Source organism: Homo sapiens, chromosome 1 (assembly GCF_000001405.40).
Source record: "Homo sapiens chromosome 1, GRCh38.p14 Primary Assembly".
In the NCBI taxonomy this organism is placed as follows: Eukaryota; Metazoa; Chordata; class Mammalia; order Primates; family Hominidae; genus Homo; species Homo sapiens.
This window is the reverse complement of record NC_000001.11, coordinates 38,299,372-38,324,479: the sequence shown is the minus strand read 5'-3', so window position 1 is coordinate 38,324,479 and position 25,108 is coordinate 38,299,372. Positions and strand designations below refer to the sequence as shown.

Here is a 25,108-nt window from a genome sequence, read left to right as displayed (position 1 = left end):
AAAGTGCTGGGATTACAGACATGAGCCACCACACCCAGCCGATTTGAGTCTGCTTTCTGCCAATCTGGGACAGGATTGACTGATGTTGGCTGGGTTTCCTCATGCATCTACTAGGAATTGGAAGTGGGCTAAGAGGCTCAATGGCTTAGGATGGCTTCATCTGGACCAACACAGCTCCCTTCCATGTTTCTCATATCCCTTCAACTGGGTAACCCAAGTATCTTCTCATGTCAGCAGCATGAGTCCAAGAAACTAGTCTGGACAGGCTGTCATGGAGACAGCAGGTGCAAGAGAAGATGTAGAAACCTACGAACACTGTTCCAGGCTCTGCCTGTATCACGTTTGCAAACATCACATTGGCTATAACAAGTCATGTGGGCAAGCCCAGAGTCAGAATAGGAGGGAACTACAAAGTTACAGGGCAAAGGGTTTGGATGCAGAGATGCCATTAATTCAGGTCATTGGTGTAATCAATCCACCACAGTGAGAAAATCAACAAATGTTTAAAGTGGAAATCAGTGGGAACAAAAGTAAATCCAGACTCTCTTGCTTGTAGGGTAAGGCCACTTATTATTCCTGTCTTTGCTCAAGAGCTAGGTCTGGCCCTCAGAGTGTTATATGAGGGGCTGCAAATAACCTCTCCTGGATGGTCCCTGAGGCTATACCTGAACCCTGTTTTATACAATTGGAATGCCACTAAAATGTTGTGTGAGAATATGAAAATAGTGGGATCTTCAGGGTGCTGCCACTCTTCTCTTCTCTGCACATTCTGCATGGACAATTACATCCCCTCTCACCACTTCAACCACTTTTCTTCTGCCCTAACAGAGCTGAAGGGGCCATTGGGAGCAGAGGCTCTGTAGATTGATAGCTTTAAATTGACAATTGCGGGAGAGGGAGAGAAAAAGGTCTCCTGACGAGCATTGAATAGATATCAGACCCTGAGATGTGCTGTGATAATTCTGAAAGATTCTGCGAAGGTGTTCTGATAGATATCCCACCATGACCAATGTTGAGAAATACAGATCTCTATAAAGAGATGGTTTCCAAATCTAAATCTCTAGCCCAGATTATTCTCCTGAGTTCCAAACCCATACATTCGGCTCTCTATGTGTATCCCCACTTGTGTGTCCCACAGGTCATCACTCTAAAAATGAACTAACCCCTACCCTCATCAAATGTCCCCTTATCTTCCTCCTAGGTTTCTTTTATCCCTACCACCCACCCAGTCACCCAAGTCTGAAGTCTGGAAGTCACCCTTAACTCCCACTTCTCCCTCACTAATCCAGCCCCATCCCATATCTCCGTAATTAGAAAGTTTTTGGCATTTCAACCGTCTACCATATATCCTACTTGAAGGGTATTTCAAAAAAGAAAATCTATTCATGTCACTCCCTTGCTTATACCTCCTCAGGGGCTCCCCGGTGCCCAAATATCTTCACATAACTTACAGAACCTTACAGTACCTAGCCCCTGTGTAGCTTTCCAGCCTCAACTCTCTCCTTTCTGCTGTGTGAATGTTATCTTCTCCACTTCTTTAAATCATTTAAATGGCATCTTGACTTCACCTCAACCTTTTGCATATGCTATGTCTTCTGCTGGAAATATTCTCTCACACTTCCCCTATTACCCGATTGCTCTTTGTGCTTCAAATCTCAGCCCAAATGTCTCTTTCTCAGAGAAAACATTCTTCATCCATAGTTTGGTTCATGTCCTTACCCAGGGTATCGCCTTTATAGCACTTGTCACATTGTATTTTATGCCTCTTTGCTTATCTTTGTCCCCCCACCCAACTAGTCTGTAAGCTCCTTGAAAGCAGAAATGATGTCTTGATCCCCAGTACCCCCTGATCCCCAGATCTCCTCTACTTGGGAGGGTATTAACATGAAGTGAACATATAGCAAAGTATTATTTAATAAATGAAGGAAACCCAGATGAGGCACATAGGGGAGTTACCAAGCTACTTATATGAAATCTCTTTGTAAGATGCCAATAGTCACCTTTCAGGTAGGGATTATATAAGTTAAAGTTTTCATATCTGTTTTATTTAAACAAGGCACAGTTGATAAACTGGGAAGCAATTAACTGGGAAACTCTTTCCCTGCCCTCTGCTAATACAAGAATCCCACTCCATGCCCAACACCTAAACAGATTCCCAATCAACACATCTAGATTATTGATTAAAATTTAAATATTAATCTGCTTTGCAAATTTCCCATTAATGTATTGCAAGAGATTATTATGTAGTGAATATAGTATTTATTGTGACCTACTTACATTCACGATGACTTTTAATTGTTTAAACTAAAGAAAAAGAGAAGCTGTCACCCCCAGTGTCAAATTTCTGAAGGAATTTTTGGAGGCAGATTTGAGTGGGTGTCTTCAGAGGACAGACCAAGACTAGAGGAAGATTCTGGGTCAATAGAACAACTTTCCCATTGACAAAACCATCATAATGGAATGAACTCTAGAATGGACATAAACAGAGAATCAATGAAAGATGATGAAGAAGAATTTCCCAAGAACAAAAACAAATAGATTAGAAGGTATAAAAGAACAGTTTAGAGATATGGAGGCTACACTGAGAAGCTAATATTAGTCTAATGGAGCTTCAGAAAAGGGGCATGGAAATAATTGTTGAAATGCAACATTGAAATGATCAGAACTGAGAATTTTTCACTTTTAAAGAAAATACCGTTAAATATATCAAAAATTGATTAAATAAAAATAATTCTATATCTAAAGACATATTATAGAAAGCCTGTAAAGCATTAAGGAAAAAACTAACATGTTAAAAGCTGCCAGAAGAAAAAACAGATACTTTATAAAGGAATGATACTAGAGTGACAACAAAAGTTCTCAGCAACAATAATAGAGGCAAAAATACGGTAAACTAGTAGCTTCAAAGTGCTGAGTGAAAATACCTGACAAGCTTGCATTTTATACCTAAACTAGCCTTCCAAATGATAGGGGGAAGTCTTTTTCAGGCATACAAAGACTATGAGTTTCCCAACTCATTAAAAGAACAATTTAAGACTTGCAGTTTTATCTCTGACATGTAAAAGTGGAACTCCCATCCTTACAACAATAAAAATGCTGAAAAAACTGAAAACCATTGTCTTCTCTTAGAGTAACTAGAGAATTAAGGGCACAGAAAAAAAAAATCACCACCAAAATCTGGAGAGATAGGTGAATACAAAAAAATCACAGCCAAGGTCAGCTTACCTAGAACAGAAGCTGTTGGAGCCATAAGCTGGTATCTACCCTCAAATGGTAACTCTGATGAATTGCTAGAAGTATAGACTAGCATGAAAATGAGAAACTCCTCAGAGCTGCAGTTTTGGGGGCCTCAAACTTTCTCAGTTTTACCTCCATGAACCTCATCAAATTGTCATGGTGAAGAGTCAATTTTTTAAAATCCCATGTTTTTGGATGGGATAAAGGGAAAGTAACAATTTTGAAATATATCCAGAGTATTCTCCTTAACAAAGGCCCAGTCATCAATGGAAATGACTTTAATCAGAGCTTTGTCTGATGTGGGGAAAGGGAAATTATCTAACTCCAACCCCCTTTAGACTTCCTCTCTCATCTAAGGAGAAAAAAAGCTGAGGAACACTTGTGATGGTCACAGTTCAGGGACACAGGCCCAATAAAAGACTGACACTTAGTTATAGAATTATAGGACCCTATAATTTTTACCCCATACCTCACCAACATATCAACAGGGTTCCAGTGTAATAACAGTAGATTATATACATATAAAACAGCTGTGATGTTCAGATTCTATTTAAGAAGGGGTTTTTAGGGAAGTCTAAAAACAACAGGTGAAACAAATAATGAGTACACTCGAGGAAATGGAAGACTTTAACACCTACAGCCACAGCAAACATTAAACACAGCCCAACTCCCAGCCAGGTTAACACAAAATCTGACACTAAAGGCCTATTTGCCTCAGTTTCTATTACCTGATACATCACGTCATGCTTTCAACAAAAAATTATAAAGCATAATAAAAATCAAGAAAAAATTATTTAAATAGACAGCAATCATCAGACAGCAATCATCAGAGCACAGACATAGCAAAATTTTGGAATTATCGAACTAAGAATGAAAAAAGTAAACAACATGAAAGAACAGATGGGTAATATAAGCAGAGAGACGAATGCTAAGAAAGTATCAAAAGAAAACACTATAAATAAAAAAAGCCACATTGTAACAGAAATGAGGAATGTCTTTCATGGGCTGATTCTTAACCTAGACATAGGCAAGGGAAGATTCACAAACTGAAAATACGTCAATGAATGCTTCTCAAACTGAAATGCAAAAAGAACAAAAGAATAAGAAAGAGAATATTCAAGAACCATGTGACAACTCAAAAGTTGCAACAAACAGGTAATTGGAATACCAGAAGGAGAAGAAAGAGGGAACAGAAGAACTATTCCATTAGGCCAGAAATTTTTCAAAATTAATAACACCAAAACACAGATCCAGGAAGCTCAGAGAACACCAAGCAGGAAGAATCCCAAAACAGCTATCCCTAGACATGTCACTTTCATATTGCAGAAAGACAAAGACAAAAATCCTGAAAACGGCAGAGGAAAAGGAACAGTTTACCTATAGAGGAACAAGGATAAGAAATACATCGGACTTCTCATCAGAATCTATGCAAACTGAAAGAGAACAGAGGAAAATATTTAGACCTTTGAAAGTAAAAGAATCTAGAACTCTATATTCAATGAAATTATCCTTCAAAAAATGAAGAAATACTTTCTCAAACAAACGAAATCTGAGAGAATTTATCACCAGTATACCTGCACTGCAAGAAATTTTTAAAGAAGAGGTTCTTCAGGAAGAGGAAAAATAATGTAAGTCAGAAAATTTAGGTCTACATAGAGATAGAAAGAGCATTAAAGAAGGAATAAATTAAGGTAAAGTAAAATATTTTATTTTTCTTATTGTTAATTGCTTTAATAGATAACTATTCAAAGTAATAACAGTAGCTATGTATTAGATGATTATAGTACATGAATAAGTGAAATGAATGACAGCCCTGTATTGAGGGACAAGAGAGGGAAGTTGGGAATACTCTGTGATATCATTTGGCTCTATGTCCCACCCAAATCTCATCTCAAAGTGTAATCCACCACATGTCGAGGGAGGGTCCTGGTGGGAGGTGATTGGATCATGGGGGCAGTTTCCCCCATGCTGTTCTTGTGATAGTGAGGGAGTTCTCATGAGATCTGATGGTTTAAAAGTGGCAGTTTCCCCTACATGCTCTCTCTTTCCTGCCACCATGTCAGATACGCCTTGCTTCTCCTTCGCTTTCTGACGTGATTGTAAGTTTCCTGAGGCCTCCCCAGCCATTAGAAACTCTGAGTCAATTAAACCTCTTTTGTTTTCAGATTACCCAGTCTCATGTAGTTCTTTATAGCAGTGTGAAAATGGACTAACACACTCTGCTATAAGGTATCTTCCCTACCTGTGAAGACTTCTCATCAGAAAGAAGTATAGTATACTTCTCATCAGAAGTAAGCATAGTGTTACTCGAGAGTAAAATTAAACTAGTTGTAAATGCATATTGCAAACTCTAGGGAAACCACAAACTTTTTTTTGTTGAGACAGAATTTTGCTCTTGTCACCCAGACTGGAGTGCAATGGTTCCATCTCAGCTCACTGCAGCCTCCGCCTCCCGGGTTCAAGCGATTCTCCTGCCTCAGCCTCCCGAGTAGCTGGGATTACAGGTGCCCACCACCACACCTGGCTACTTTTTGTATTTTTAGCAGAGATGGGGTTTCACCATGTTGGCCAGGCTGATCTCGAACTCCTGACCTCAGGTGATCCACCCACCTCAGCCTCCCAAAGTGCTGGGATTACAGGCGTGAGCCACTGCGCCTGGCCGTCACAAACATTTTTTAAAAGAAGTATAATTGATATGCCAGGAGAGGAGAGAAAATACAAACATATAAAATGCTCAATTAAAACAAGAGAAGACATAGCAGCCCTTAACATGTATGCACCAAAAAACAGTTTGTTAAAATACATGAGACAAAAACTAATAGAACTGCCAAGTATTGGAGTTGGAGTCTTCAACACTCCTCTTTCAGTAATTTATAGATCAAGTAGGCAGAAAATCAGTAAGGACATAGTTGAACTCAACAGCACTATCAATCAACTAGATTAATCAACTAGATATAATTGATGTCTATCAACTACTTCATGCAATAACAGCAGAATACACATTCTTCTCATGCTCACATGAATCATTCACCAAGATGGAACACATCCTGGGTCATAAAACAAACCTTAACAAATTTAAAAGAATAGAAATTATACAATGTCTGTTTTCAGACCATAATATAATTAAACTAGAAATCAGTAACAGTAAAATAGCCTCAAATACTTACAGATTAAACAAGACACATCTAAATAACATATGAGTTAAAGAAGAAATCTTCTTAAAGGAAATTTTAAATATTTCAAACTAGATGAAAACGAAAACACAACTTATCAAAATTTATGGAATGCAGTAAAAGCAGTGGTTAGAGGGAAATTTATAGTATTGAATGCAAATGTTAGAAAAGAAGAAGGATTTAAAAAATCAATAATCCAAGCTTCCACCTTCGGAAATTAGAGAAAGAAAGATCAATTTAATCCTAAAGTAAGCATAAGAAGATAAGTAATAATTAGAACAAAAATCAGTGAAATTGAAAGCAGGAAAATAAAGAAATCAACAAAACCAAATGCTGTCTTGGAAAAGATCAATAAAATTGATAAAGCTCTAGCTGGCCTAACAAAGAAAAAAAGAGAAAGAACACAAATTACTGATATTGGAAATAAAGAAGGAAGTCACCACTATTGATCCCATGGACGTCAAAAAGATAATAAATATATGAATAACTACATGACCACAAATTTGATAACTTAGATGAAATGGACAAATTCTTGGAACAACATGAGCCACCAAAGCTCACAATAGGAGAATTAGCCAATCTGAATAGATTATTAAGGAAATCTATTAAAAAATTAAGTCAATAATTAATATCCTTTCAAAAAAGAAAGCACCAGTATTAGATGGGTTCACTGTTTAATTCTATCAAAATTTAAGAAAGAATTTATATCAATTCTTTACAATCTCTTCCAGAAAATAGCAGCCAAGGGAACCTCTCTTAACTAATTCTATGAGATCAGCATTACTCTAATACCAAAATTGGATAAAGACATTACAAGAACAAAAAGCTATAGACCAATATCTTTCATAAACATAGATGCAAAAATCTTCAACAAACTATTAGCAAGTTAAATCCAACAATGTATAAAAAAATTTACATACCATAATCTAGTAGGATTTATTCAAGGTATATACAAGGCCGTTTCAACATTAAAAGGTCAACTGATGTTATCTACCCCACCAACAAAATAAAGAAGTAAAGTCACATGATTATATCAGTTGATGCAGAAAAAGCATTTGACAACCCCAACATTAATTGGTTTTTTTAAAAAACTTAGATAATTAGGAATAGAGAACTTCCTCAACTCGATTTTTTTGAAACTACAAAAGAAAGTTACAGCTAACATACTTAACAGCAAAAAAAAAAAAAAGATGTTTTCCCCTAAGATTCCAAAAAAGGCAAGGCTGTCCCCTCTCACCACTTCCATTTAACACTGAATGGAAGTCCTAGCTAATGCAACAAGATAAGGAAAGGAAATAAAATGTATATAAATTAGGAAGAAAGAAATAAAGCTACCTTTTTTTGCAGATGATTGTCTATGTAAAAAATTCCAAAGAATCAGCCAAAAAAAAAAAAAACCCTAGAATTAGTAAATGATTATGGCAAAGTCGCAGGATATAAGAATAATATACAAAATCATTAGCATATATATGTATAGATATATATAGAGAGAATAATTGAACTTTGAAATTTAAAGCACTGTATAATTTTCAATATCAAAAAGTTAAATTAGATATAAACCTAACAAAACATGTACAGGATCTATATAAGGAAAACTACAAAATTATGATGAAAGAAACCAAAGATCTAAATAAGTGGAGAGACATTTCATGTTCATAAATAGCAAGACTCAGAATTGCTAAGATGTCAATTGTTTCCAGATTGATCAATCTCAGTCTCAATCAAGATCCCAGAAAGGTATTTTGTGGATATCAACAAACTGATTCTAAAGTGTATATGGAAAAGCAAAAGACTCAGAAAAGCCAACACTTGAAGAAGAACAAACTTGGGGGACTGACACTACGCAATCTGAAAACTTACTATAAGTTTAAATTAATCAAGATAGTATGGTATTGACAAAAGAGTGACTCATAGATCAATGGGAAAGAATAGGAAGCTCAGAAATAAATCCACACAAACATAGTCAACTGATCTTTGAAAAGACTATCAAAGGGTAGTCCTTTCAAAAATGGTGCTGGAACAATTGGATTTCCAAATGAAAAAAAAAAAGAATCTAGATTCAGACCTTAAACCTTTCAGAAAAATTAACTCAAAATGGAGCACAAACCTAAATATAAAATGCAATATTATAAAATGTTAGAAGAAAACATAAGACATAATTTAAGTGACATTGTGTTTGACAATGACATTTTAGATACCACCCCAAAAGTACAATCTATGTGACAGTGGAAAAACACACATGAACTGTGTTTTTCCTATTCTCTCACTCAATACATTAATCAACACAGAAGACTTCTGTGACCAAATGTGTGCAAGATTTTCCTCACACACCAAGCAAGCGATCAGTTCTGCAGCAGACATCATCTGGAGGTCCTCCAATTCACTTCTGACTCTATCTACCTGGAGATAATGGCCAAATCCCACAAGCTGAGGGCTCAGTCCCACAAGACCGCCCCTCCTTCAGGCACCAGTCATAAGTCCAGGCCTCCAGAACTTCCAACCAACCAGCTTTAAGTTGGGATTCCCACAAGCCCCTCTTTGGGTTTGATTAATTTGCTAGAGTGGCTCACAGAACTCAGGGAAACATGTTTACCAGTTTATTATAAAGGAAATTACAAAGGATACAGATGAAGAGATGCATAGTGCAAGATATGGAGGAAGGGGCATGCATGGAGCTTCCATGACCCCCCTGGGAGTGCCACTCTTCAGGAACTCCCACGTGTAGACCTATGTGAAAGCTCTCCAAATCCATTCCTTTTGGTTTTTATGGAAGCTTCATTACATAGCCATAATTGATTAAATCATTGGCCACTGGTGATCAACTTAACCTTCAACCCCTCTCCCTTTTCAGGAGGTTGGGGGTGGAGCTAAAAGTTTCAACCCTCTAATTATGCGTTGGTCTTTCTGGTGACCAGCCCCCATCCTAAAGCTATGTAGAGGTTGCCAACCATCAGTTAATCATTAGCATACAAAAATATAACTTTATAGAGTCTAAGGATTTTAGGATTTGTATATTTAGGGAAAGGGGACAAAGACTAAATATATATTTTACATTATCACACCATGAAGGAAAAAAATGGACACATTGAACTTTATTAAAATTAAAATTTTTGCTCTGTGAAAGATACAGTTAAGAGAATTAAAAGACAAGCCACAGACTGGGAGAAAATATTTGCAAAACGCGTAGTAGCTGTACATCCAAAATATACATAAAAAAACTCTTAAAACTTAACAATAAGAAAACAAACAACCTAATTAAATATTGGCAAAGATGTGAACAGACACCCCACCAAAGAAGATATGCAAATGAAAAATAAGCCTATGAAAATATGTTCAACTTCATTTGTCATCACAGAATTGCAAATTAAAACAATAATAAGATACCACTACACACTTATTACAGTGGCTAAAATTTTTTCAAATATTTAACTGACAATACCAAATGTTGGTGAGGATGTGGAACAACAGGAACTATATCATTCATTGATGGTGGGAATGCAAAATGGTTCAGCCACTTTGGAAGACAGTTTGGCAGTATCTTACAAAGCTAAACATAGTCTTACAATCCAGAAATCACACCATACAATCCAGAAATCACACTCCTAGGTATTTAAATTGATTTGAAATTTTTTTGTTCCCACAAAAACCTGCACGGGAATGTTTATAGAAGTTTTATTCACAATCTCCAAAAACTGGACGCAACCAAGATTTCCTTTGATATGTGAATGGAAAAACAAACTGTGTTACATCCACACAATAGAGTATTATTTAGCATAAAAAATATATGAGCTATCAAGCCACAAAAAGATTTGGAGAAAACTTAAATGCCCCTTGTTAAATGAAAGAAGACACTATGAAAATACTATATTGTGTATGATTCAAATTATATGACATTCTGGAAAAAGCAAAACTATGGACAAAGAAAAATGATCCATGTGTGCCAAGGGTTTTGGGGTAGAAGGGAGAAATAAATAGGTGAAGCATGGGGTATTTGTTGCAGCAGAGAAACTATGATACTGTATGATACTGTATGATACTGTAATGGTGGATACATTACAATAGGCATTTCTCAAACCCATAGAACTTGACAGCAGAAAGAAAACTTAATGTACACAAATTTTTATTTTATTTTATTTTATTTTGAGACAGAGCCTCCCTCTGTTTCCCAGGCTGGAGTGCAGTGGCCCCGATCTCAGCTCACTGCAAGCTCCACCTCCCGGGTTCACGCCATTCTCCTGCCTCAGCCCCCCGAGTAGCTGGGAATACAGGAGCCTGCCACCACGCCCAGCTAATTTTTTTTAATGTACACAAATTTTTAGAAGTCAGTTAGGAGGAAGGGAATCCCAGAAAGGAATGCAGACTGTGATAAGAGAATTTACCGGTATTGTAAAAATAACCTCACTGAAGAGGGTGAGAGATCAAGGTGTTGACCTAAGTAACTTTGGAAATTAGTAGTCTTTAAGACTAAAGGCATTTTAGCACTCTTCTCTACTGGATAAAGTTATTGTTTCTCACAGGGTATGGTTTAAAGTTTCCAGTACCAGTGTACATGTATACTGGAACTGGACAACTAAGTAAATGGATGGAGGATGTTGGGGGCCAGGTTTCTCATGTTTGAGGTGGGAGTTTACAGATAAAAGGGGAAGGCAAGAATAACCCAAGGATTAGAATTGGAGATATTACTATGAACTCATGGTTAGCTTAATACAGGCACAAATGGTTAATTACAGAAATTTTTTTTTGTTTGTTAAGTGGTTTATTGTTTAAATATCAACTTTTAAATTCGGGGTACATGTGTAGGTTCATTGCATGGATATGTTGTGTGTTGCTGAGGCTTAGGGTATAATTGATCCTGTCACTCAGGTAGTGAGCATAGTACCCAATATGTAGTTTTTCAGCCATCCCCACCCCTTAGCCTAGTAGTCTCTAATGTCTATTGTTCCCATCTTTATATCCATGTGTACCCAAAGTTTAGCTCCCACTTATAAATGAGAACATGTGGTATTTGATTTTCTGTTTCTGAATTAATTTACTTAAAACAATGGCCTCAAGCTGCAACCATGTTGCTGCAAGGACATGATTTTATTCTTTTTTATGGCTGCCTAGTATTCCATGATATGTATATACCACATTTTCTTTATCCAGTCCACCATTGATAGGCACCTAGGTTGAGTATATGTCTTTGCTACTGTGAATACTGCTGCAGTAAACATACGAGTGTATGTGTCTTTTCGGTAGAATGATTTATTTTTCTTTGGGTATATACCCAGTAATGAGATTGCTGGGTTGAATAGTAGTTATATTTTAGTTCTTTGAGAAATCTCCAAACTGCTTTCCACAGTTACTGAACTAATTTACATTCTCACCAGCTGTGTATAAGCTTTCCCTTTTCTCTGCAGCCTCATCAACATGTTATTTTTTGACATTTTAGTAATAGTCATTCTGACTGTGTGAGATGGTATCTCATTGTGGTTTTAATTTGCATTTCTCCGATGATTAGCGATGTTGAACATTTTTTCATATATTTGTTGGCCACTTGTATGTCTTCTTTTGAGAAGTATCTGTTCATGTCCTTTGCCCACTTCTTAAGGGGGTTACTTATTTTTTGCTTGTTGAATGAAGTTCCTTATAGATTCTGGATATTAGATCTTTATTGGATGCATAGTTTGTAAATATTTTCTCCCATTCTGTAGGTTGGCTTTTTATTCTGTTGATATTTTCTTTTGCTGTGCAGAAGCTCTTTAGTTTAATTAGGTCCCACTTGCCAATTCTTCTTTTTGTTGCAATTGCTTTTGAGGACTTATTCATAAATCCTTTGCCAAGGCCAGTGTCCAGAAGGGTATTTCCTAGATTTTTTCTTTTAGAATTTTTAAAGTTTTAAGTCTTACATTTAAGTCTTAATCCAATCAACTTTTGAGTTAATTTTTGTATATGGTGAAAGGTAGGGGTCCAGTTTCATTCTTCTGCATATGGCTAGCCAGTTATCCCAGCACCATTTATTGAATAGGGAATGCTTTCCCCATTGTTTATTTTTGTCAACTTTGTTGAAGATCAGATGGCTGGTGAGAATGTAAATTAGTTCAGTAACTGTGGAAAGCAGATATGTGGCTTTATTTCTCGGTTCTCTATTATGTTCCATTGACCTATGTGTCTGTTTTTATACTAGTACCATGCTGTTTTGGTTACTGTGGCCTTGAGGTATAGTTTAAAGTCAGGTAATGTGATGTCTGCAGCTTTGTTCTTTTTGCTTAGGATTGCTTTGGCGCTTTGGGCTCTTTTTTGGTTCCATGTGAATTTTACAAGAGTTTTTTTCTAATTAATTACAGAAATATTATGTTATAATCTTATGTGTCTCAACTTGACTGGGTCATGGGGTATCCAGACATTTGGTTAACCATTACTTCTGGGTGTGTCTGTGAGTGTTTCTAGATGAGACTAACATTTGAATCAGTAGATGGAGTAAAGCAGATTGTTCTCCCCAGTGTGTGTGGGCCTCATTCAATCTGTTGAAGGCCTGAATAGAAGAAAAGGCTGAATAAGAAAAAATTCTTGTTTTGGCCATTGCACCCAGTTTTTTGCAAAGCTTGAAACTATTTCAAAGTATTGGGTTGATTAGGATCATCCCATTGGTTAATAAATAAATGTGTTTGTGCTTTTAAAAATAATTCTTTCTGACTGACTCTCTTCAGACTGGGACACTGGTCTTCTCCTTCCTTTGGACTCAGACTCAGACTTAGACTGGAATTTACAACATCAACTCACCTGGGTTTCCAGCTTGCCAACTTCAGATCTTGGACTTCTCATCTTCTATAATCATGTGAGCCAATTCCTTATTATAATATATTTACCATTGGTTCTGTCTCTCTGAAGAACCCAGACTAATATATTGTGCTTTTTGGTTTTGGGGGGTTTTTTGAGACAGGGTGTTACTCTGCTGTCCAGGCTGGAGTGCAGTGGCACAACCTCGGCTCACTGCAACCTCCACCTCCTAGGCTCAAGCAATCCTGCCTCAGCCTCCCAAGTAACTGGGACTACAGGCATGCACCGCCACACCCAGCTAATTTTTGTATTTTCTGTAGAGACAGGGTGTTGCCATTTTGCCCAGGCTAGTCTCGAACTCCTAAGCGCAAGCAATCCATCTGTCTTGGCCTCTCAAAGTGCTAGGATTATAGGCATGAGCCACTGCACCTGACCAGTAATACATTTGTGTATATATACATGGGTTAACATAAAAATGTTTGTGCTATCAGCTGAAAGGGCATAAAAGAAATGACACCTCAGTAGCAACAAGCACACCTAATGCCTAGATCTTGGTTTCTAATACTGTCCTCCAGTAAAGAAAGCAGGAATCTTTGAGAAATAGTTGATTCTAGGACTGGAGCAAGAAATATACAAAATGATACTGGAACTTCTTATAGTGCCATAAAATAAGGAAGTGTTCAACAACAACTTATGATGGAGGTGTATCAGAGGAGGACAAGAGCCAATGGAAAGAGCTCCCAATGGCCAAAGCTGGAACAACTTGAACAACAAAACAAATAAGGTATGCCAGATTCTAATCCAAAGTAAAAAAATAAATATTTCTGAGTCCATGCTTACATAAATAAGTGATTGAATAAATTATAGATACTCCACCCTCAAGGAAGGGGAGCATAACTTCCCACTCTTTAAGTGTGGGCTGCACATAGCAACTTCCTTCCAAACAATACACTATGGAGGGGGCAGGAGAGGATAACTTTACAGTGGAGAAACCTGACACACCACCTCAGCCAGGTGATCAAGGCCACTATCAACAGTCATAAATTGTGTTGATGGTATGTTATGTACCCTTGACATGATGCAATGAAAACGGCACTTTGTCTCTGTAGTCTGTCTCCCAGTAACCCATGACCCCAGTCTTATCATGAGAAAAACAGCAGACAACTCCCATAGTGAGGCATCCTACAAACTACTTGGCCATTACTCCTCAAAACTCTCTTACTAAATGTGATATGGTATTCTGGATGAAGTCCTGGAACAGAAAAACAACATTAGATAAAAACTAAGGAAATGTGGATAAAAAATGACTTTAGTTAATAATTATATGTCAATAGTGGTTCCTTAATTATAACAAGAATTTCACACCAATGTATGAGGTTAATAATAGGGGAAACCATGGAGGACATTTTGAAAATCTCTACTGTCTTCTCAACTTTTTCTGTAAAGCTAAAAAGATAATGTCTATTTAAATAAACAAAAACAAAAAAAGAACTTAAAGGATATACTTCAGCAAGGAGAAAACTGAATTTAGAGGGAAGCTAATGAGCTAGAAAATAAAATATGTCAGTAAATTTAATTAACTATTAACTGAAAGAGATAATTTTTTTATTAATAGGCAAAACTATGACTAGAAATAATAACTAGATAAGAATGATGTTCAATTAGTGATTAAAGTAAGTTAAAGTCTGTGTCATGTTTGGGAAGAGGATAGAAATATTGAATGACTTAAATCTGTTAGAAAAAAATGAGTACTTAAGTATGTGTATGCAATTAAGTATATAAAAATTGAAGGATAACCACAATAAAATGAAAAACACAGTCTATTTTCCAAACTGCTACAGAGGGGGAAAAGGGCATGAAGGGGAAGAATGGACATAGAAAACATTTTCAGTTCAACAGAATGCAAGAAAAGGAGAAAAAAAAAAAGAACAGAAAACAAAGCAGAGAAAAAGTTGGTTAAAAAAATATGCAAATATGTAGATCGTTACAATAAATGTTGTATGAGATGCATCTTGCACATACCCTCAAATTCTCTTGGCCTCACCTGTCTCCCAAACATTCAGCCTCTTGCCTTTCTACAGCTACTGCCAAGTGACAGTCCACTCTGTTGGATCCGTGGCTGGAGGCCACTGCCCATTGTCTCTGTCCTTTCCCACTCCATTGGCACTTTATGTTACAATGCATGAACCAGGTAACTCAGCCTGAAGTTCAAAAGAGTTAAATCCCCAAGGGCAGAAGGCCTAAGTAGAGATAAGAGAACAGAGCCAGCAGATAAACGCCTTCTATTTGCTTCCGTTCAATGGACTTTTCCAAGGCAAGCATATGCCTGTACAGCATGTGTGGAGATGTGCCAAGAGGCCAAGTGAGTGTATCTGTCAAGCATTGCCATTGTCTTGTGGTGTGCTGTGAAGTCCTTACACATGCTTTCCATTCTCCTTTGCCTCAGTTAGCCTTTCTCTCTCTCCTAATGACTCAACATTGCTTCAGGCTCTGTTGCTAAGACAAATGTAAAATAAACAAATAAATTTAAAAGCCTATCTACTAAAATAGATCGGATGAATAGATTTAAATCCAGTAAAACACAAGAGACACATCTGAAATAAAATTAATTAGAAATGTTGAAATGAAGACATGGAAAATATACACCATGAAATTACTAACAACAACAACAAAACTAGTGTAGTAATATTAATATCAGACAAACTAAAACTTGAGGTATAATAGATAGTACGTAACAATATATTACATACATATTTAATATATATACTTACAGAAAGAAAAAATCCACCAAGGAAATATAACAATAATGAATTTATATGCACCTAAAAAAATTACCTGAAAACATACAATACAGACACAGACAGGATTAGAAAAAAAAATGACCAATATAAAAAATAATGGGAGATTTCAACAAACATCTATTAGAAATCATATACCAAGTGGCCAGGTGCAGTGGCTCATGCCTGTAATCCCAGCACTTTAGGAGGCTGAGGTGGGTGGATCACTTGAGGTCATCAGTTCCAGACCAGCCATGCCAACATGGCGAAACCCCATCTCTACTAAAAATACAAAAATCAGCCAGGCGCGGTAGTGCACGCCTGTAATCCCAGCTACTCAGGAGTTAGAGGCAGGAGAATCACTTGAACCCAGGAGGCAAAGCTTGCAATGAGCTGAGATCGTGCCACTGCACTCTAGCCTGGGCAACAGAGTGAGACTCGGTCTCAAAAAAAATTAAAAAAAGAAACCATATACCAAGTAGACAAAATGTTATTAAGGTATAGAAGGTTTGAACAACTAAATCAATATATTTTCTAATAAATGCATATAGAGTTTTCAACCAATAAGCAGAAAGAATGCATTCTCTTTCAGTTCATATGAATTATTTACAAAAATTGACTACATATAATACTATACACACAGGAAATCTCAACAAAGAAGCAATATCATGTAGATCATTTTCTCTTGTGGCAATAAATGTAAATTAGAAAGCAACCATAAACGTTAAATCCAAACAACACAGACGCACATTGAAATTTTTAAAATGCTTTTCTAAATAACTTACTATGAAAGAGGACATCACAATAAAAATTATAAGTATTTCTCATGAACTGTAATTGAAGTTTGCATGTTAAAACTATGTAACTAGTAGAGTACCTGCAAGAGACTTTGTAACTGTAAATGCACCAATTAAAATAAAGTTAGAAAATAAATGTTATATTTAACTGAAGAACCAATAAAAAGATTGTAGTAAACAAAAACAAGACAGAAGACAGTAAATATTAAAAATAAGGGTAGAAATTAATAAAACAAAAAAACAAGAAAATAACAGAATCAACTAAGACAAAAGCTATTTCTCTTAAAAAGGAAAACTCATAAAACAGTTTTCCAGTAAGACTAAGCAACGGAACAAAGACAAAAGGCATAAATACACAAAATTAGATATGAAGAAGGGGATATAACTAAAATAGAGACTTTAATAATCATAATAGAATATGATCAGCTTTATGTTTTAAAATTTGAAAACACAAAGAATTTTACATTTCTAGAAAATAAAAATTACCAAAATTGGCTCAAGAAGAAATAAGAAACTTGAATAAATTAAGCCATTAAAGAAATCACATGGCAAATAAAAGTAAAACCACCTCAACGAAAAGATCCACTCTTAAATGGATACTTGATATGTGACAGAGGTTATGTCACAAATCAATAAGGAAGGAATGGCTTCTTCAATAAATGGCACTGAGACAACCGACCACACTTACTTATTGAAAAAAATAAAACTAGCTGCTTACATTTTTAATACATATGAAAATTAATTCTGGGTAGATTAAAAATCTAAATAGAAAAGGCAAAACTTTAAGACATTTAGAAAAAAAAGATGAAAACATCTTCAGGGTAGAGAATTTCTCAAACAAGACACTATGAGAAAAGAAAAATATTGATAAATTTAACTTTTATTTTAAAACTTTATTCAGCAATAGTTATTATATGCAAAGTAAAAGACAAGCCACAACAGTCTCTTTGGAAAATAAGTTGGCATTCTCTAATAAAGCTGAAGATATGCATACCTTCTGATTAAGAAACTTCTCTCCTACATATAGTCCCTAGAGAAACTCATGCATGCGTGTGCCCAGAGCCATGTACAAGAATGTTTACAGTGATATTGTTTGAAATATTCAAAAACTGGAGGAGTGAGGCAAATCAATAGTAGAATTTTTGTGGAACATTCATTTGATAAAATGCCATCAGCAGTGAAAATGACGAACTACAGCCACATATCACAAGGTTTAATTAATCTCACAAACATAGGTTGAATCAGAGAAGTAAGACATAAAAGAAAAAGTGCAAAATGATTTCGCCTATTTAAAGTTCAAATGTAGGAAAAACTAACCTATAGTGTTTTGAGATAACTACATTGGTGGCTAAACTATATAGAAAAGCAAGAATGTGATCAATAAAAATCAGGATAATGGTTACATCCAGGAGAAAGGAAGTAAGTATAATTAGGAAGGGACACATGAAGGGTTTCTGGAACTGACGACCTTCTACTTCTTAAATTGAGTGGTAATTTTCCTGAGTGTTCACTTTGTAATTATACTGAACATTTAGGACTTAAGCACCTTTCTGAAGGTATGTTTCATTTTACAGTTTTAAAAGATTAGAAGAAAAAGACAAGTCACAGACTAGGAGAATATCTTTGTAACACATATGATCAACAAATAATATTCAGAATACATATTTTTAGCATATCCATCATATCAAATATTTATCATTTCCTTGTGGTGAGAACATTTAAAATCCTCTCTTTTCACTATTTTGAAATAGACAATACATCATTAACTGTAGTCACCATGTTGCATAATGGAACACCAGAACTTATGCCTCCTGACCTGAAACCTTGTACCCATTGACCAACATCTTCTCCTTCTCTTCCCATCCCATTGCCCCCAGCCTCTGGCAACCAGCATTCTCTACTTCTGAGCTCTCATACTCTCTACTTCTGAGTTCAACTTTTTTAGATTCCACAAATAAATGAGATCATATGATATTTATCTCTCTGCGCCTGGCTTATTTCACTTAGTGTAGGTCCTCTAGGTTCATCTATGTTGTCACAAATAACAGAATTTCCTGGGTTTTTTGTAAGGCTGAATATTAATAGTACTCCATTGTGTATATATACCACATTTTAAGAATCCACTTATCCTTTGATGGACAATTAGGTTGTTTGCATATCTTGGCTATTGTGAGTAATACTGGAACAGTTGTGGGAGAACAGACATCTCGTCAATATACTGATTTCAACTCCCTTGGATATATACCCAGTAGTGGGATTACTGGATCATATCATAATTCTATTTTGAGTTTTCTGAGGAACCTCCCATTCTGTTTTCCAAAATGGCTCTACTACTTTACCATACCACTAATAGTGTATAAGGGTTCCCTTTTCTCCACATCCCCACCAACACTTATCTTTGATAATAGCCAATCCAACAGGAATGAGGAGACATCTTACTGTGATTTTAATTTGCATTTCTCTGATAATTAGCAATATTGAGCACTTTTTCGTATATCTGCTGGCCATTGTGTGTCTTCTTTTGAGCAATGTCTACTTATGTCCTTTGCCCATTTTTAATAGGGTTATCATCTGTTTTCTTGTTATTGAGTAGTTTGAATTCCTTGTATATTTTGGATATTAGCCCCTTTTCTAATGTATGATTTACAAATATTTTCTCCCAATCTGTGGGTTGTCTCTTCATTCTATTAATGGATTCCTTTGCTGTGTAGAAGTTTCTTAGTTTGATGCCATCCTATTTGTCTATTTTTGCTTTTGTTGCCTGTGTTTGTGGGGTCATATCCAAGAAATCACTGCCCAAACTTAATGTCAGAAAGGTTTTCCTATATGTTTTTTCTAGTAGTTTTACAGTTTCAGGTCTTACATTTGAGTTTTTAATCCATTTTGAGTGAAAAATGGATATATAGTCTTTAAAGTCTTCAAGTTAATAAGAAAAAGAGGGCAAAAGATATGAACAGAGTAATGTAGTTTTGTGTATGTGCATATATGTATATGTATATGCATACACATAAATATATATACACACATATATACATATATCCATATACATACATATATACATATGTGTGTATGTGTATTTACTAGTGAAACTGAGAATGATATATATGTGTATATATATACACACACACATTATATATACACATACATTATATATACACATATATATATGATTCTCAGTCTCACTAGTAAATTGAAGAAATTCAAATTAAAACAACAATGAAATATCATTTTATGGACATCATGCCAGCAAACATTAAAAGGCTGACAACACCAAGTATTGTTCAGGATATGAAAAAACAGATCTCTAATTATACTTCTGGGAGCATGCTTTGGGGAGCAATTTAGCCACATTTAACAATATTGAAGAAAAGCACATTCTATGGCCCAACAGGGCAGTTTTGCATTTTGCAGAGAGTCTTTTACAAGAATATTTATCTGTGCCGTTGTTTGTAATAGCTAAAAGTTAGAAATGACTTCAGTGTTCCTAAACAAAAGAAGGAATAAATTGTAGTATAGTAACACAATGCAATGTCACGTAGCAATTAGAATGAACTAGAGCTACAACTATCAAAATGGAAAAGCAAATTCTAGAATATGCATAGTAAGATATCATTTACATAAACTTTGAAAATATGCAGAACAACACCACATATTGTTTATGATGCATACATATGTAGCAATAGTATGAAACTATGCATGAGAATGAAAAACACTGAGTTGAGGGTGGTGTTTGCCTCAGGAGAGGGAGGAAAAAGAATGAGATCAACTAGGAGCATACACAGCTTCAATTATATCTGAAATATTTTATTTATTTTTAAAAGAACTGAAGCAAAAAAGAAAATCTGTCATTTAAATTTACCAGATTAACAAATTAAGGTAGAAAAACCATGCAATCATCTCAATAGATTTAGAAAAAGCATCTGATGAAATTCAGCAACACTAATTAATGATTAAAAAAAAAAAAAACCCTTAAACTAAGAAGAGAACCTTAACATGATAAAAATCACCTGCCAAAAACCAACAGCAAATATCATGTATGATGGTGAAATGTTAGAAGTATTTCTTTCAAAGCCAAGAACAAACTAGGATGTCTGGAGGTCCTAGACAGTGCAATATGACTAGTGTGCATAGTATTGGAGGAGGAGGAAGGAAAAGGGAAAGAAAATAAATTTAAGCAACACCGAGACAACTTTTCATGCATATCAGATTGGCAAATATTAAAATGACTGCTAACACCACAGATTTTGGAGGATGGAAGCATCAGGAACTCTCTCACTGTTGGTGGAGCTGTAAACAGGCACACCACTTTGAAGAGTAAATTGTCAATATCTGGTAAACTTGAAGATGATGTGCATATAATATTATCCAGCAATACCACTTTTAGATATTGTAATCGAGAAAAATTAGGAAGCAACCTAAATGTCCGTGAACAGAGAATAAGTAAGTCAGGTGCAGTTCATTCACACAATGAGCTACTATATAGCTGTTGAAACAAATGAACTAAGTTTTCATGCACAGATGTGGTTAAATCTCAAAATGTAACATTAAATGAGAAACATCAGTTATAAAAGGACAAAGTCAGTACAATACAATTAACGTCAGTTTTAAGAACACAAAAAGCAATCCCACATATTGTTATGGTTATACATATATGCATTAAATGTATAAAAACTGGTACAGAGTGATTTTTTAAAAACTTTGAGCAAATTTCCTTTGAGGAGGAAAGAAAACATGGGGGCTTTTAGCTGTATCTGTGATTTTTCTTCCTGAGAAAAAGAAGAGCAGACTACAACAAATACAGCAAAATATTAACCTCCTAAATCTGGATGGTGCAATATGAGTTTCTATTACATTTTTTTTTTACCTTTATTTCTTTATGTTTGAAATGCAGTAATCCCGCCTTATCCAAGGGGGATACATTCCAAGACCCCCAGTGGATGCCTGAAACCACAACACCGAAGCCCAAAAATATGCACAATTTTTTTCTTTCTTCACAATTTCACAGATAGAAGATTCATCCTTACTATGGATCTTAGCAACCTCAGCATACAATTTTTTTTTCTTTCCTTATTAAGTCAAGAACTTTCAACTTTTCACTTAAAGAAGTACTTTATGGCTTCTCTTTGGCATATTCAAATTGCCCACATCACTACTCTTGCACTTTGGGGCCATGACTAAGTAAATAAGGGTTACCTGAACCCAAGCATTGCCATACACAGTCAATCTGATAAACCAAGACAGCTACTGACTGACTAATGGGCAGATAGCACGTACACACGGATCTCTATACAAAGGGATGATTCCCGCCCGGGACAGAATCAAGCAAGACGACTACTCAGAATGGCATGCAATTTAAACTTAGGAATTGTTTATTTCTGAGTTTTCCATTTAATATTTTCAGACTGTGGTTGACCTCGGGTAACGGAAACCCTGGAAAGTGGAATTGCCAATAAGGGAGGATTCCTGTGTTTTATTATCAAGTGATTAATTTAAAAATGATGAAAGATCATGGCACAGTGGAATCTCAGAATTGGAAGAAAACTCAGAAGTTATTTAATTAGATGTGTCATTTCTCAAGAGTCCCACAGGCTTGGCTTTCATGACCCTAGTGACGGGGAGCTCACTACCTGTTAGGCAACTTCTGTTCTGGTCAGGTTTCCCTGTTAAAACAAATACCCTCAGCCGGGTGCGGTGGCTCATGCCTGTAATCCCAGCACTTTGGGAGGCCGAGGCAGGTGGATTGCCTGAGCTCAAGAGTTCAAGATCAGCCTGGGCAACACGGTGAAACCCCGTCTCTACTAAAATACAAAAAATTAGCTGGGCGTGGTGGCACGTGCCTGTAATCCCAGCTACTGGGGAGGCTGAGGCAGGAGAATTGCTTGAACCTGGGAGGCAGAGGTTGCAGTGAGCCGAGATCGTACCACTGCACTCTAGCCTGGGTGACAGAGCAAAACTCTGTCTCAAAAAAAAACAACAACAGAAAAAAAAAAAAAAGAAAAGAAAAGAAAAGAAATACCCTCGTATGGAGCCAAAATCTGTCCCTTTTTATTCCCGTGGCCCAGCATAAGGGTTTTGGCTTTGCCTTCACAGACCTGACTGGGAGTCTGGAGCCTTAGACTCTGGCCCTGGTTTTGTCATGACCTCCTGGATAAAACTCTCCAGTCTCTTGCCCTCATTTCTCCATCTATCAATCAATTACATGATGTGAATGGTCACTGAAGTCTCTAACATCCAACAAGTCTGTAAGATTAATGTTTTCCCAAAACTTTGGCACAGCAGGGCCTTCTATAAAAACATAATTTTTAAAAATAAAATTCGTCTCTTTAAAAGCATGCATATTTCTTAAAACAAGGCTTAACCTTCTGTCTTAAAACTTGCCTGGCAAGACTGTGCCATTCGGCAAAAGTAGAAATGCACGGCTCTACACAAACAGAAGGCCTGGCCGGGGCAGCAGAGGGGAGCTGCCCAAGAGACTGAGAGCCAACCTCCCCAGGCTAAGGCTCACCGTTTCCCAGCAGCCACATGCATCCCAGGCCCAGTGTGGCTCAGTGGAGAGGCGCTCCCTCAATGTCCCCTTGGGGGAAGCCTTGTAGCTGGCCTCCTGGGAAACACTGGGGAAGGAATCCTTCAACCTGCCCCTTCTCCATCTATAGAAGCCCTTCACATCATTCAAGACCCAGGTTTCTGCCTCTCCGAGGCTGGCCCACATCTCCTGCAAGAGAATGAACCCTCTTTCCACAAGCCATTCTTTATATTTCTGATAGAAGTGAAATTTTTTCCTTAACAAACTCTCACGTCTTGCTTTGTATGTATTAGGCACTTCTGAGCACTTTGTATATGCTGATTTATCTAGATAGACGCTAGCTGAATCTCCATTTTACAGATGAAAGGCTAAGGCACAGAGCAGTTGAGTCACCTGTCCAAGCTCACACAGCTAGTTTTTAGCAGAGCTGGGGTTTGAATCTGGACAATCTGGTCCCAGAGTATGTGTTTTTCTTCCTACTATGCTAGGCTCCAACTTATGTTTGAGTTGTTTATACATGTGTCTTATCTCCCCCAGTAATTCGTCTGTTTTGTAACCTGCTTTTCTCACTTAATACTTTATCATGTGCATCTTTCCATGCCATTAAATATTATTCCACAACATTATTTTTTAATGACTGCCCTAGAAATCCACTATGATATATAACCAGCTCAATCGTCAGACATTTAAGTTGCTTTTGCTTTTTCACTACCATCAACAATGTTTTGGTAAATACACTTATAATTAAATTTCTGCATACATCTCTGTTTCTTTAGGATCTGTTCCAGAAGGAACTGCTGGATCAAAGCATGTGCGAACTCTTAAGGCTTCTGATACATATTGCCAAATTACCACTCGAAGGACTTACCAGCAGTGAATGGGAGAACCTCTTCCCCAGGGTCCTGACCCACCCAACCATAAACACACAATAAGGAAGTAAGGGGGATGGGGGAGGGATATTAATGTTTTAATTTGTTCTTTTGTTTATAAGTAAAGAAAAATTTGTTTATTCCTTATGATTATTTGTATTTTTTCTTTTATAAATACTCTTTGTTTATTATTCAAATCAGCATGCTCTTCTCCTTTTTGTTTGCAAGAAGAGAGAGAAACACTTAGAAGATAGAATCCCATATTTCGTTCCTCCTCTATGGGCAGAGACAGGAGCTAATAAGAATGTAACATGCATTTGCAGACTTTTTGTCAGAAACCTTAGCAAAAATTAACTTTAAGCAAATCCTCTGCCCCTACCAGCTTCCAGGATCTGAGTGGTAAGAATACCCCAGGCAGTGGCCCTACCTGTCCTGGGCAATGCCCTGCCAGGCTATGTAATGGGTGGGTGTACAGGTGTCCAGACACAGGGGTCAGAACATCACCCAGGCCAAATCCCAGCTCCACCACTCACAACCATGGGACCTTGAGCAAGTTGTTTAAACCCTCCCTGCCTCCATTTCTCCATTTGTAAAATGGGAATAATAATGATAATACTTTATTTGGCTGCTGTAAGGGTCATATAAGTGCATATAGAGAGCATTTAAACCACCTGGCACGTATTAAGAACCATGTAACTATTAGCTGTTATTATTATTGTTTTGATCAAGATTTTTCTCTGGATATAGCTAGCCTGCTTCCATTCTTTTGTAATTCACATTGAAGGAAGATTTCCTTTGGGCAAGTTATATATGTATATTTTGTCTACAGATAAAAACAAAAAAACAAATATTTGAATATTATAAAACAATAAAAACAAACATTTGAATGAAATTCATTCAGCATATTTGAACCCCACTATGTAGTAGGACTCATGCTGGATATGGGGATGAAATATAATTCCTGCCTTCAAAG

At 36.4% G+C, this 25,108-nt stretch overlaps 1 long non-coding RNA gene across 1 annotated transcript in view; it reads left to right on the top strand.

The window, feature by feature from the left end:
- Window positions 1–24,282, top strand: part of LOC105378657 (uncharacterized) — a 203,343-nt gene extending 179,061 nt beyond the window's left edge. The window contains exons 3-4 of the long non-coding RNA XR_947210.3: window positions 13,100–13,227; window positions 24,043–24,282. This is a non-coding gene — a long non-coding RNA (uncharacterized LOC105378657). The remainder of the gene's footprint in view (window positions 1–13,099; window positions 13,228–24,042) is intronic.
- The last annotated feature ends 826 nt before the right edge of the window (window positions 24,283–25,108 follow it).